This window comes from Homo sapiens, chromosome 5 (assembly GCF_000001405.40).
Source record: "Homo sapiens chromosome 5, GRCh38.p14 Primary Assembly".
NCBI classification, from domain to species: Eukaryota; Metazoa; Chordata; class Mammalia; order Primates; family Hominidae; genus Homo; species Homo sapiens.
This window is the reverse complement of record NC_000005.10, coordinates 103152309-103167551: the sequence shown is the minus strand read 5'-3', so window position 1 is coordinate 103167551 and position 15243 is coordinate 103152309. Positions and strand designations below refer to the sequence as shown.

At 33.3% G+C, this 15243-nt stretch overlaps 1 protein-coding gene across 30 annotated transcripts in view; it reads right to left on the bottom strand.

Annotated features, from left to right (window-relative positions):
• PPIP5K2 (diphosphoinositol pentakisphosphate kinase 2) overlaps window positions 1-15243 on the bottom strand; it is a 92499-nt gene that overhangs the window by 45248 nt on the left and 32008 nt on the right. For 18 of the 30 annotated variants that reach the window (NM_001281471.3, XM_005277534.3, XM_005277536.3 and 15 more), the window contains exons 10-18: window positions 14803-14904; window positions 13618-13704; window positions 12807-12882; window positions 12609-12718; window positions 11558-11643; window positions 9239-9364; window positions 8979-9100; window positions 8224-8406; window positions 232-373 (exon numbers count right to left, since the gene is read on the bottom strand). In NM_001281471.3, coding sequence (NP_001268400.1) covers window positions 232-373; window positions 8224-8406; window positions 8979-9100; window positions 9239-9364; window positions 11558-11643; window positions 12609-12718; window positions 12807-12882; window positions 13618-13704; window positions 14803-14904 — 1034 coding nt within the window. The remainder of the gene's footprint in view (window positions 1-231; window positions 374-8223; window positions 8407-8978; window positions 9101-9238; window positions 9365-11557; window positions 11644-12608; window positions 12719-12806; window positions 12883-13617; window positions 13705-14802; window positions 14905-15243) is intronic. The other 12 variants (XM_005277535.3, XM_047417009.1, XM_047417008.1 and 9 more) reach the window with 1 other exon arrangement.

Here is a 15243-nt window from a genome sequence, read left to right as displayed (position 1 = left end):
TGCATAATAAGATAATCAAATGAGAATATTTTATTTTCTCTTTCATGCTGTCATGGATAAAAACCACTATAACTTAGCCATTATTTTTTTGCTTGATATACATTAACTCATACTATACATAGCTCTCAAGAGAGGCTTGATTTCTTACAACAAGATTGGTGCATCATATATTAAATGCTTAATTGAATAGTAACTTTTATTTGTTCTATGCTCTAAGAAAAACATATTTACCTGATGATTTAGGATCTTCCATTCGATGTCTGATTTGAGAAGTCAAACTCTGAATTAAGGAATAAACTTTATCACAGGTCTTCACAGGGTTTTTAATTAAATGCATTGATTTGATAAGAGAAATGCTTCCAGATGGAGTAAGCTACAAATGAGTAAAGTATATATTTTATATCTGGTTATGCCTAATTGTCTAAGAGAACAATATATATATACAAAATTTTCCAGTAGCTGGAGAATAATTCCATAGCAGAAATTAAAATGACCACAAAATACAGTTGACCCTTGAACACCACAGGTTTGAACTGCAAAGGACCACATATATGCAGGGTTTTTCCCTAAAAGTTACACCAAAATGTACTGTTTCTCCTGCCTCCCCTTCCACCTCCTTCACCTCTTCCACCCTTGAGACAGCATGACTAACCCCTCCTCTTCCTCTTTCTTTTCAGCCTACTCAATGTGAAAATAAAGATGAAGACCTCTAAGATGATCTATTTCCCCTTAAGGCATAGTAAATATATTCTCTTCCTTATAATTTTCTTAATAACATTTTCTTTTCTCTAGCTCACTCTAGAATTTTCTTAATATTTTCTTTTCTCTAGTTCCCTCTGTTGTAAGACTAGAGCATATAATACATATACAAAATACTGGGGAACTTCCAGAAAGTATGTGGAAAAATTGAATTAAAAGATAAAAGTAAAAAACTTTATTTCTCAACCTAAGGTCTGTCAGGGTCAAGACACTTTTGTAAGCGATGATACCAGCCATTTAGTCTATTCCTAAAATATGGAGGATCCTGGGAATTTACCCACGTCAATGCAGACTTTTTACATTATTAACTGAAGAAAAATGAGTGCCCCTTAAATATTTTTTTAAGATTAGGAAACAAACAGAAGTCAGAAGGAGCCACATCAGGACGACAAGGTAGATTCCTAATGATCTCCCACTGAAACTCTTGCAAAACTGCCCTTGTCTGAGAGGAATAAGCAGGAGCATTGTCATGATGGAGGACTCTGTAGTGAAGATTTTGTGGGTGTTTTCTACTAATGCTTTGGCTAACTCTCTCAAAACAATCTCATAATAAGCAGATGTTATTGCTTTTTAGCACTCCAGAAAGTCAGCAAGCAAAATGCCTTGAGCGTCCCAAAAAACTATTGCCATGACCTCTGCTCTTGACCAGTCTGCTTCTGCTTTGACTGGACCAATTCCACTTCTTGGTAGCCATTACTTTGATTGTGCTTTATCTTCAGGGTCATCCTGGTAAAATCAGTTTCATCTTCTGTTACAATTCTTCAAAGAAATGCTTTGGGATCTTCATCCCACTTGTTTAAAATTTCCATTGAAAGCTCTGCTACTGTCTATAGCTGATCTGAGCACAATGGTTCTGGCACTCTAAGCAGAAAGTTTGCTCAACTTTAATTTTTCAGTCAGAATTGTGTAAGTTAAACCAACTGAGATGTCTATGGTACTGGCTATTGTTTCTGCTGTTAATTATTGGTCTTCTTCAATTAGGGCATGAACAAGATTAATTTTTTCCTTGCAAAATTGATGTGGATGGTCTGCCTTTGAGGGCTTCATCTTCAACATCATCTCGTCCCATCTTAAAACGAGTTATCCATTTGTATACTGCTGATTTCTTCGGGAAACTGTTCCTATAAACTTTTTGTAAAGTGTCAATGATTTCACCATTTTTTTCACTTAAGCTTCACCATAAATTTGCTGTTTGTTCTTGTTTCAATTTTAGCAGAATTCATGTTGCCCCTCGCAGGGGCTCTCTTCAAACTGATGTCTTACTCTTGTTAGTGCCTCAAACTAAATCCTGTTCAGACATGTCATAACAAGATAATACAAGATTATTTTAGTGTAAAAAAAAGTTGAAATTTGTGTATAGTTTTTTCATAATGAGCATTCATATATGTTCATTGTTCACATTATTGCTAAGGCTTCCAGTCAAAGGTAGGCTTAACTTGGTAGTTAAGTTTTTGCAGAGTCAAAAGTTATACACGAATTTTTTTACTGTGAGGGGGACTGGCACTTCCAACCCCAACATTGTCTAAAGGTGAACTGTATAGTAATGAGATCAAGGAGGAAGTAAAAGACTCAGAATTCATGTTAAAAAATATTAAACCTTAGCTGTCTTATCAATAAAGAAAATTTAGCAGCAACACTCTAACTTAATGGAATTTGATGACAATCTGCTGACTCTGTTAACATGTGTAAATATGGTTCTGACCACTTGACATATATTTACATGTAATAACTCTAGGCATCTATTATTATCTTTTCCCAGATGAGTGACTTACCTGAGGTTAAGCTACTTGCTTAAGATCAAACCACTAGGATGTAAAGGAGTAGGACTCAAATGCAGGTAGTCTGGCTACAGACTGGTGCTCTAAACCACTATCCTGTTATGCCTTTGTAATGAATTTGTAATGAATTTTTTTGAATAAAAGCCATCAATAAAAATATAGTTCCACATTCCAGTTTTGACATTTAGCTTGGCAAGTTATTTAACCACATTAAGTAAGTTTCTACAATATAAAAAATGTCAAGTGCAATTCTACTTCTGGTTATAATAAACTAGGTAGTTTGGACCAATATATCCACTGAAGGGAAGTAAAAATTCTGGGCAAAGAATATCTATATGTATGCTTTAAGGAATCTGTGAAATAACAAGGTGGTAAAGAATTATGGAAGCAAAACTCAAAGGTCAGTGATCCAGAAAGTGAGCCTAGAATTTAAGGCTGTTTCTCCACTGGAAACATTTATATTTATGAATATAATAAATGACTCCAGTCAAAAGAGTGCATAAAGGAAAATATACGGCCTAGGGTGCACATTTTGTAAAAGACAGAACATTAATAACTTAGTAAGTATTCACCTGGTGTTATTAATTTCGAGAATCAGAAAAATAGCAAAATAAAACTAGAGAGGTAGAAGAAATAAAATATTAAGCAATGAGAATTAATCAAATGGAAAATAAGCATATAATTCAGAGACCTAACAAATCTTAACAATGGTTCTTTGAAAGGACTAATAAACTAATCAACCATGGTGAAACTGATCAAGAAGAAAAGGAAAAAAGTATAATGTTATGAAAGAAAAAGGGAAATCTCTATAGATCCTACACAAATTACAAAGAAATTATGAACAAACTTCTAAAAAATATAATTTAATAATATTGACATAAACATAACTGAGAAGTACTAAACTATTCTGAATTCCATAATTAGAAACTTTCCCACAAAGAAAACACCCACAGGATTTACCATACTATTTACTAGTAAAGCTTACTAAAAATTTAATGAAATATTTGTACATATACTATTCTCCTCAAATAGGAAGCATTCCCTAACTAATTTTACAAGACTAGCATAATCCTGACATTGAAATAAGACACAACAAAAATAAAAAAGTAAAGGCCAATCTGACATGAACATAGATTCAAAATTCCTAACCAAAATTTCAGCAAACTAAAATCAGTGATATGAAAGAAAAAGATCATACATGGAAAAGCTGAGGATATTCTAGAACCAAGGTTAGTTTCACATTCAAAAAACTGTAAGATATAATAGATGAAAGAAAATATGATAAAATTCAGTACGTTTTTATAATGGAAACTCAGCCAAATAGAAACAATGAAATTTCCTTATTTTGAAGGGCAGCTATATAAAATATCTACAGAAAACTTTATATTTAATGTACAAGTGTTACTAGAAATGCTACTTTTATTTAATATTATTTTGAGGGTCCTACCTATGGAAAGCAAGAAAAAGAATTTTTAAAAAACAAAGATTGGAAAAGAAAAAAAGTATAGATGTGCAGTTAAAGAATGAAACAAATCTAGATAAATTATTAGAACTAATGAGTTCGACAAGGTTGATGCCTATAATCTCAATATTTTAAAACTAATTATATTTCTATATAGCAACAACAGAGAATAAAACTTTTAAAGAGGGCCCATTTATAATTGCACAATATCAATCACCTTAGCCTAAATCTAACAAAGATGCACAAGAACTCTGTGAAGTAAATTATAAAACATTATTGAAAGATATTAAAGAATATCTAAATAAATGAGCTACACTACATTCACAGATTGAAAGACTAGAGAAAAAAATGTAAATTTGCACAAACTACAGATATCATACAACCTAAATAAAAAAATCCCAACAGTATTTTTGACCAGCTTGTTTTAAAATTTATATGAAAATGCAAAAAAAAAAAAAAAAAAAAACACTTGAAGAAGGATCCATTTGGGGTGTTGGGAGGTATTATTCATTGGCACACGGATCAACAAACAGAATACAGGGTCCAGAAACAGATCACACATATATAATAAATATGGTACTTCTGAGTAATGGGAAAGAATAGTCTTTTCAGTATGTTCTGCTGGGACACCCAGATGTATATATAGTTGCAGGGGAAATAACAACCTTGACATTCTTAGCTCATAGCACACACAAAAGTCAATTTTATCTGATATACAGATAAATGTGAAGAGCAAAACAGTAAGTTTATAGAAGATATATATATCTTATGGCCTCTTCTCCGAAAAAGATATCTTAAACAATATATTAAAATGCATTGACCCTAAGGGGAAAAAAATGAACTTGGAAATCATGAAAAACTATAACTTTTGCTTATCAAAAGATATTATTGGCTGGGCATGGTGGCTCATGCCTGTAATTCCAAAGCCTTGGGATGTCAAGGCAGGAGGATCACTTGAGGCCAAGAGTTCGAGACTAGCCTGGGCAACACAGTGAGACCCAGTCTCTACAAAAATTTAAAAAGTTAGCTGAGCATGGTGGCGTGCACCTGTAGTCTCAGCTACTCAGGAGGCTGAGGCAGGAGAATCACTTGAGCCCAGGGGTTTCAGGCCACAGTGAGCTATGATCACACCACTGCACTCCCGCCTGGGTGACAGAGCAAGACATTGTCTCTACAAAACAAAAAAACAAAAAAAAAAAAAAGAAAACACATCATGACATCATTAAGGCTCAGAGTAGGTGGTGTTAACTTTATGTTATCTACATGTAACAAAGAACTCATATCCAGAATATATAAAGAACTTCTACCATCCAAGAAGAAAAACATAGACAATTCACAGAAAAAGGACAAGAGACTTGTCCTCATTCAAGAGGATATCTAAATGGTCAATAGACATTGAAGCCACAATAAAGTAAATTCTAGGTATATCCACCAGAATGACCAAAATGGAATCATCTGAGAATCCCAAGAATGGAGAATATGTGGAGCAATGACAACTATCATTGACCTCTGGTGGGAGTGTAAATTAGCTCAATAGCATTAGAAAACACCAAAGGCAGTGGCAACAAAAGCCAAAATTGACAAATGGGATCTAATTAAACTCAAGAGCTTCTGCACAGCAAAAGAAACTACCATCAGAGTGAACAGGCAACCTACAGAATGGGAGAAAAGTTTTACAATCTACTCATCTGACAAAGGGCTAATATCCAGAATCTACAAAGAACTCAAAGAAATTTACAAGAAAAAAACAAACAACCCCATCAAAAAGTGGGTGAAGGATATGAACAGACACTTCTCAAAAGAAGACATTTATGCAGCCAACAGACACATGGCTCATCATCACTGGCCATCAGAGAAATGCAAATCAAAACCACAATGAGATACCATCTCACACCAGTTAGAATGGCAATCATTAAAAAGTCAGGAAACAACAGGTGCTGGAGAGGATGTGGAGAAATAGGAACACTTTTACACTGTTGGTGGGACTGTAAACTAGTTCAACCATTGTGGAAGACAGTATGGCGATTCCTCAAGGATCTAGAACTAGAAATACCATTTGACCCAGCCATCCCATTACTGGGTATATACCCAAAGGATTATAAATCATGCTGCTGTAAAGACACATGCACACGTATGTTTATTGTGGCACCATTCACAATAACAAAGACTTGGAACCAATCCAAATGTCCATCAATGATAGACTAGATTAAGAAAATGTGGCACATATACACCATGGAATACTATGCAGCCATAAAAAATGATGAGTTAATGTCCTTTGTAGGGACATGGATGAAGCTGGAAACCATCATTCTCAGCAAACTATCGAAAGGACAAAAAACCAAACACCGCATGTTCTCACTCACAGGTGGGAACTGAACAATGAGAACACTTGGACACAGGAAGGGGAACATCATACACTGGGGCCTGTTGTGGGGGTGGGGGTTGGGGGGAGGGAAAGCATTAGGAGATATACCTAATGTAAATGACGAGTTAATGGGTGCAGCACACCAACATGGCACATGTATACATATGTAACAAATCTGCACGTCGTGCACATGTACCCTATAACTTAAAGTATAATTTAAAAAAAAAAAAGAATGAAAAGACAAAAAAGAAAAAAAAAACAGTTTGACATTACCTGCTAACATTGTAAATAAGTATACCATGGTCACAATAATTCCACTCCTACAATATACCCAAGAGAAACGTATGCTCATTGCACAGGTGCCATACCAGGATATTCATGGCAACTTTAATCCTAACAGTCCAAAACTCTAACAATAATAGAAAGCATATATAAATTGTAATATGTTCATAAAGTAGTACATGGATCAACAAACTATAGCCTGCAGGTCAAATGTGGCCTGTTACACAGGCCATGAGCTAAGAATGGTTTTTACATGCTTAAAAGGCAGTTAAAAGAAAACAAAAACAATATGCAACAGAGACCATATTTGGACTGCAAAGTCTAATTTTTTTAAATAAAATATTTACTATCTGGCCTTTTACAGAAAAGTTCTGCCAACCCTGAAATGGAATACAGCAAACACAGCAATGATTATTAACTAACTATGACCATTACTTAATATGGTTGAATTTCACAAATAAAATATTAAATAAAAGAAGCCAAATATAAAATAAAACATGTTCTATGAACCTTAAAAAATAGCCAAAGTAAATTAATACTGTAGAGCCATTATAGAAAACAGTATGAACATTGCTCAAAAAACTGAAGACAGAAAAACCATATGATCCAACAATCCCAATACTAGGTATACAGCTAAAGGAAATGAAATCGTATATCAAGGAGATATTTGCATTCCCATTTTTATTGTAACACTGTTCACAATAGATAAGATCTGGAATCAACCTGTCCAATAACAGATGAATGAATAAAGAAAGTGTAGTATATATACAAGATGAAGTATCATCATCTAGCCTTAAAAAAGAAGGAAATCCTATCATTAGCAACAACATGGATGAACCTAGAAGACACTATGTTAAGTGAAATAAGCCAGGCACAGAATGACAAATATGTATAATCTCACTTATATGTAGAATCTAAAAAAGTTAAACTTAGAGAAGCAGAGTAAAATGATGGCTACCAGAGGCTGGAAAAGGAAGGGGTTGGGAAGATGTTGGTCAAGGGATACACAATTTCAGTTGGACAGAAGGAATAAGTTCAGGAGCTCTATTGTACAACATGGTGATTATAGTAATAGCAATATGTTTTATCCTTGAAAATTGCTGAGAGTAGATTTTAAATGTTCTCATCACAAATAAATAAGGATGTGAGGTAATACATATGTTAATTAGCTTAAGTTAGCCATTTCACAATGCATATATATTTTAAAACATGTTGTGTCATAAACATATATAATTTTAATTTGCCAATTAAAATCAATAGATTTAAAGTTAGAAAAAAGCCAAAAATTAGACTACACTGGTTAGAGACTATACTTATTATTCAAGTAAGTATTCTGGATATGAAAAGAATATAAAAAGTCAGGACAGTAGTTTTTTTGAGGAGGTAGGGAATGGGTTGCGATTGAAAAGGGGCATACAGAAGCCAAAGTTGTTCCAATGTTCTATTTCTTTACCTGGAGGATGATAACATGTGTATTTGCTTTATAATACAATAAGCTCTACATGTATGTTTTATGCACTTATCACTTTTCTGTGTGTGTGTAATATTTCACAATATAAGAGTTTGCTAAGACCCACCTTTTCATAATCTTCAGCAGTAAAATCTCTGTCTTTCTGAAGTATTTCATGAAGCCTTGCCTTCACACGTTGCTGACAACTGCTCAGAGAGTCACTATCACTATCCAAAAGACCGTTCATATTTGCACTTTTCACCATTTGAACAAGAATGGGTGTAAGCTCTCCTTCCAAAGCTAAAAGCCCCTAAGCATATTAAATAAAGAAAACACGAATTTAAAAAATTAATACGTAAAATAATATTTTGTTACATACTGATTTTCATAAAGTATAAGTTAAGTTTATCATAAATAAACTTTATTAATACTACAGTTCATTATTGTCATTTTAGAGTTTTACTTGAAAGTTCCAAATACAGAATTTTTAAATATTCCTTGGTTAAAAAAATTTTGGTTTTTTTTTGAGACAAGGGTCTGACACTGTTGCCTGCGGTAGAGTGCAGCGGTGTGATTTTGGCTCATTGCAGCCTTGACCTCCTGGGCTCAGGTGATCCTCCCATCTCAGCCTCCTGAGCTGCTGGGACTACAGGTGTGAACCACTACACCTGGCTAATTTTTATTTTTTTAATTTTTTTGCAGAGACAGGTTTCGTCATGTTGCCCAGGCTTGTCTCAAACTCCTGGGCTCTAGTGATCTGACCACCTCAGCCTCCCAAAGTGCTAGGATTACAGGTGTAAGCCACTGCGCCCAGCCAAAAATGTTTTAAGATACAATATTAGATTAAAAACTCTAATAATTCTAAAAAAAAATTATTTATACCTTTGCAAAAGCAGCTGCAGTCATCTGGACTCGTCCTTCATCAGAGGCATATATTTTGAGGTCATGTCTGTAGGTGCTATGTAATCTAAGTAAACCACAACCAGGAAATCCTGCATAATCTCCTGAAAATAAATCCTCAAATCACTTCAGCTATATTTTCATTTCATTGTATTTCTATAAATGTTTAATAACATCACAAATGAGGATTTCAAAATACAATTTATGAAATTAGTCAAATTAAAGAAAACTCTAAGATTTACCTTGACCTCCAGGATACATACACCTGAAGGCTCTTCCAAGTTCTTCAGCCTGGACCCTGCCTGCAGGAGTTAATTCACCTCCCCATTTTAGAACCAAAAGTAAAGATGGTTCTTCTCTTCGGCTGTCTATGACACATATGAATGAATAAAACAAATGTTAAGTTTATTTCTTTAAACAGACTTAAGATTCATTTTTTTCTCTGTGCTCTCTTCTGCAGTGAAATATGGCCCATATGTAAGATATTTTCTTCCTTAAATGCTGTTGCATGTATGTTCCTTAATGCCGTTTGTAGGCAGTTGCTTCTGTAAGGAATACTCCCTTGCTATACCTGTTTAAATCTTACTGAAATTTGAAAATCTCTCTCATACTTTAGAAAAATGGCTCCCAATTTTCTTCAGGGATGTAATGTTTCTCCCTTGCCTGCTCTCATAGTAATTTTTTCATTGTACTTAATTTAGTTGTGCTATGTCTGCTGGATTAACAGCTCCTTGATGCCCGAATCCAGGTTTTATCTGCCTTGCTATCAAGCACCCTTTGCAGTGCTGTCCCATGAAAGAAAATACCTTAGTTGAAGTGAAGAAGATATATATATTTTTTTGTTTTTTTTTTTTGAGACAGAGTCTCGCTTGGTCGCCCTGGCTGGAGTGCAATGGCACGATCTTGGCTCTACAGGCGCCTGGCTAATTTTTGTATTTTTAGTAGAGACGGGGTTTCACCATGTTGGCCAGGCTGGTCTCGAAATCTTGACCTCAGGTGATCCACCCACCTCGGCCTCCTAAAGTGCTGGGATTAAGGCGTGAGCCACTGCGCCCGGCCAGATACATATGTTTTTAAGATTGGAAATCGGTGATTTGCATCATTTTTAGGAAGATGTGAGATGACAGAGCCTAACATTTATTCTAATTTAAATTTTATGCAATCTAATAAATTTTACGCAAACAAAAGGTATTCAAGAGCAGCTTTTTAAATTTGAAATTGTGGAATCTCTGCATGTTACACATCAGAGTATTTTCTTGAACAAAGAAAATACCATAAGTTAATGAGTTTCTGTACTTAATTTTGACCTACTCCTTTTCATGGTATTAAGATCTGTGTTGGGTTCTGAAAAAAAAAGTAATTCAAAAATAAGCATTATAAGCACTAAAAGAACTTAATAATCATTCTTTAAAGGTGAGAGGAAATCACCCCTTCCCCTGCAGCAAGTTAGCGGTTCTGTGAGCTTTGTCATGTAGACCAATATTAATTTATGGAAAGAAAGTTAGTTACCTAACTTTTTAAATTATTTGCTTATAGAATGTTTTTGATGATAAATACTAAGATATAGAAAATTAACCTGTATTACTATTAACCACAAAATGTGATAAGAGCAATATATCAAATGTTAAACTAAATATATAAAGATTATTATAAATATGTGTCTGCATTTAAGATAATCATTAATTTTTGCTACTATAAATAATACCACTATGAATATCCCTATAGATAATCTTTCCCTGAACATCTGATTACTTCTTTGGGTTAGATCCTGATAAGCAGAATTCAGGTCAAAGCATAAGTACATTTTCTGAAGTTTTTGATATATTGCCAAGTTACTTTTCAAAACACTGTGCCAATTTATACTTCTACTATAGACTGAAATCCTGTCTCAATGAATTCTCATCAGCACACTTTATTACCAGTTTAAAACAGAAACGAAGAAAACACTTTGCCAATATGATAGGCAAGACAGATTATTATTACTATCATTATTATTTTATTGGTCATCTGCATTTCTCTATGAAATGACTTCCCCAATCCCTACCCTTTTCTTTTGTAAGGTAAATGCATTTATGAATGTGGATACTGACTGCTCTTAGGAGACCAAACTTGTTTAAAGACTTACTCTGGTTTACTGGGTGGAAGAAAATACCCATTTATTTTAGAAACAGGTTAATTGTATATTTTTTCAAAGTCTTTTTGTACTTCTTGGCCTTTCTTCTTATATACTCTGCCCTCTACTATCAAAAGGTGATGTAAGGAGCCCATTAAATAACACTTAGTTATAAACAAATAAGTTTTCCGAAACAATCCCGCAGTTAAAAGGAATTCCTATGCAGTTTTCAGAACAATAAAATCTATCCTTTGTTTAAAGAATAGGTAATTTTAAAATTGTATCCTTTATTTAAAGAAAAGGAAGCACAGCTAAGATAATTCCACTTTATTTTTCCTCACCATGCCATTCCCTAAACTACTAAGCAAAAGATGGTCCAAAGGTAATCAACAGTGAATAACAAGTTACTACATATAAAACTACTGTATAAGCATTAAGAATAACATACCCTCCTCTTCACTAGATGTTTTAGGACAACCATGAGGGAGATAGGTCAACTGAACCTTACGATTTATTCCAGAAAAATGACCATACCTGAAAAATAAAATGATAAACAGAATAGAACATGTAGGGAAAAACTAATTCTCACATATTCATGCTCCCTTTTATTTGTAACCGCCTGTTTAATTCTTCGAAATATTCTATCAAAAAAAAATTGTACCATATATAATCATTCTAACCACATTAAAAACAAAAATGTTTTTCTAAAAATTACAGGCGTGGGTGCCATGGCTCAAGCCTGTAATCCCAGCACTTTGGGAGGCCGAGGTGAGTGGATGACTTGAGGTCAGGAGTTCGAGACCAGCCTGGCCAACATGGTGAAACTGTCTCCACTAAAAATACAAAAATTAGCCAGGCATGGTGGTGTGTGCCTGTGGTCCCAGATACTTGGGAGGCTGAGGCATGAGAACTGCTTGAACTTGGGAGGGGGAGAGGTTGCAGTGAGCTGAGATCACACCACTGACTCCAGCCTGGGTGACAGAATAAGACCCTGTCTCAAAAAAAAAAAAAAAAAAAAAAAAAAAAAAAAAAAAAAGACAACTCTGAAGAGATAAAGTACAGAAATATGTAAAAACACAGATGTATGTGTTTTAAGAAATAAAGGAAATAAGATTGTAAGAGATTAAAAATGTAAAGCTGTAACAGGAATATTGGTGGGTATCCATTTTACTTGATTAAGGCAAAATTCAAATTTTTTATATTTAAACTGCAATGAATCTATGGTCAAGTTAGCAATGTGGCCTTCATTCTAAGCAGTATTTCACAGAAGACACAAATTTGATGTCCTTGTTTAATCTTCTCACCAAAATTAAAACTAAAGCTAAAACCTTCAATACAGCAATCTATTTTTTTCACATTAGATTTTCCTTCATGTCTCAACTATAGTAACAAAGAGTAAAAAGATCAGACTGTGAAAGTAATTAAAATGGAAAATCACATACATAAAAAAGAAGAGCTATATGTAGTACCACAATTAAGCGTTTCAAAAAGATACTCACATCTCTAATACAGTCTTAAGTTGTTCAAGTTTTGGCTTGTTTTCTTCAATTTCAGAATCATTATTTTGCCCTAGCTCCATAAGAAGCTGTCGTGCAATATCTAGCACTTCCTATAAAATAAATTAATAAAAAATTGAATTTTTATGTAATTTCACCACTAAAAAATTTAAAATTAAACAAGAAAGCAAATACACTTGCCTGTAACTGTTTTGGTTTTTTGAGTTTTAATTTCCCTGATTTATATCCATCACACTTTTCAAAAAGATCAAAAAATCTTATAAAAAAGACAGAACACTGTTAGTCACTTGCAATAATTAACATTACCAATATATGTTTAAACTAACAAATAATAAATGATAAGCTATGGGACTAGAACTTGGGATCTAAGGATTTCAAGTACTGTGTTTCCTCTTTCACTGTACATGTTGCTGCTCAACTTTGATTGATAAAACTTAGTACTTTCCTAAATGATACCAAACTAATAATCACCATACTACTTTTCAAAGTTTTTTCACGGAAACCAAACATACAATTATAGTTCATAATATTATATATTTTCTGAAGTCATTGCATATACATTGAAAATTACTTGTGTCAACACATACTTAATGGCTCAGGGTTTTCAAATTTTATCATCTCCAAACCAAACACTGGATAGAAATAACAGAAACTTTCATTCTACTAATTTTCTTCTAAAAGGCTGAGGGATTACTCACTCTCAGAATGCAATACAAGAGAGTGATAAGCAAAGATTAAATAGAACACCTTTATGACAATAAATGAAAGCCAGGGCAGACTGATGATATTTATGAATATTGCCACAATAATTTTAGATGCTAATGAACATATTTTAAATGGATTTTGTACCCACCCACTGGTTTAAATATAAATGGCCAAGAGACAGTAGATAAAAGTTTTTCTATATGATGTATTAATCAAAAGAGTTGATCACTTATCAGAAATCTTAAAATTGTATCATGCATGTTAAATTATTCATCTGAAAACATACTTCTGATGTCTCACTTCCATTTTCATTTTTTGTTTTGGTGTTCGATCCCCATGACGTATAACAGCTATGACACATCTAAGTTCCATCCTAAAATGAAAAAATATATATGTTCTTAATTCTCTAAAAAAGATTTGTGTTGTATAATTCAGATTAATATGAACATTTAGTCATCTATTTAAAGCCATCTTTTACCACTTCAAGATCTTTCCCATGAAGAATAATACTTATAACAATCTAGTTTTAACTTTATGAAATAAAATTCAAAAAGAACTTAAGAAGCTGGGGGAGGGAGGTGATATTAAGCTATATAGTAGAATACAACCTTTTCTTCTCTAGAAATGGCTACATTAACTCTGGGATAAAAGTAGATGGACTACAATTTCTGAGCTTTCTTATATATCTGATCCATAGCATTAGGTCACTACAGACTGAGACTTCATTAAATCAAAATAAAACTTTACATGATGGTTGCTATATTTATATATTTGCTAAGTTTTGCCCATGTAAGGAGAACAAGTATTTACAACTCAAATTACTGGAAGATAAAATCATCTTAGAAGCATGCTAGAATTCAGAGGTATAATCTAGTGTGTGCTGAAGTGTGAACTGCAGAACATAACCCTGCAGGATTATCAATTGAGTTACCTGAAAAAAATTTTATTTAACACTTGCGTGTTAAATCAGTATGAAAAATGCTGATTAAAAACAAAATTAGTTCCCCCCATCATCAGTACATCTCAGGATATTTAACATGTTAATATAAATATCTAAGTTGTGAAAAAAAAGCATTCAGTCAACTGACATGAATTTAAAGGAATAATTTTCAGTAAGAGAATGTTATAAAACATTTTGGCAATACTGGTATAATTATGCAAGATATGACTTGAGAGAGCAAAAGTTGTAAGACCACTATGAACCTTTAAGTAACATTCCTATTGGTACCTTTTTTATTTTTATGGCTTGATTAAACAATTCTATAATTATCCAGGCATGTTTCAGTAGTTTATTTGTAACAATTAGTGGACCCTTATAAATACGTATAATCTACTCCTCTATCTTCAAGCTGAATCATATGAAATCATACACACTAAAGTGTCTAATCATCATTCAGAAATTTAATTTTTATCCTAATAGCACAGATGGCAAGGAAAACTCAATTTCTAAATGAAAATAATTCAGACTTACATAGTTCCAGATGTAGTTGGTACAATTGGGATATCTTCAGCTTCTAAGGGTATTGACCATGGAATATGAAATTGTGGAGCAAGTTCTCGCATTACAATATTTCTTCAAGACAAAAAAGAAAAGATTTAAAATTAGTACGTTTTAAGACAAAACTGGGTACTTAATGAGGATGAGAGAGAATCATAAGAGTTAAACTATCTAGTGATTACATCACATAAAAGATAACCCACAGAATCCATTCTGATCAAGAAAAAATAAAAATCAGCAGTTCCAAATTGATGTATTAGACACATCAATGGGATTTCACAAATTTGAGATTATTTACTTTAGTTTTAAAATATCAATCAACATTGGATTCAAAGAAATCACTACAATTACATCACATCTAACTACATACATTCTGAAATTCAAGATTGTCTCTTCTGTGTGGCTACTGATAAA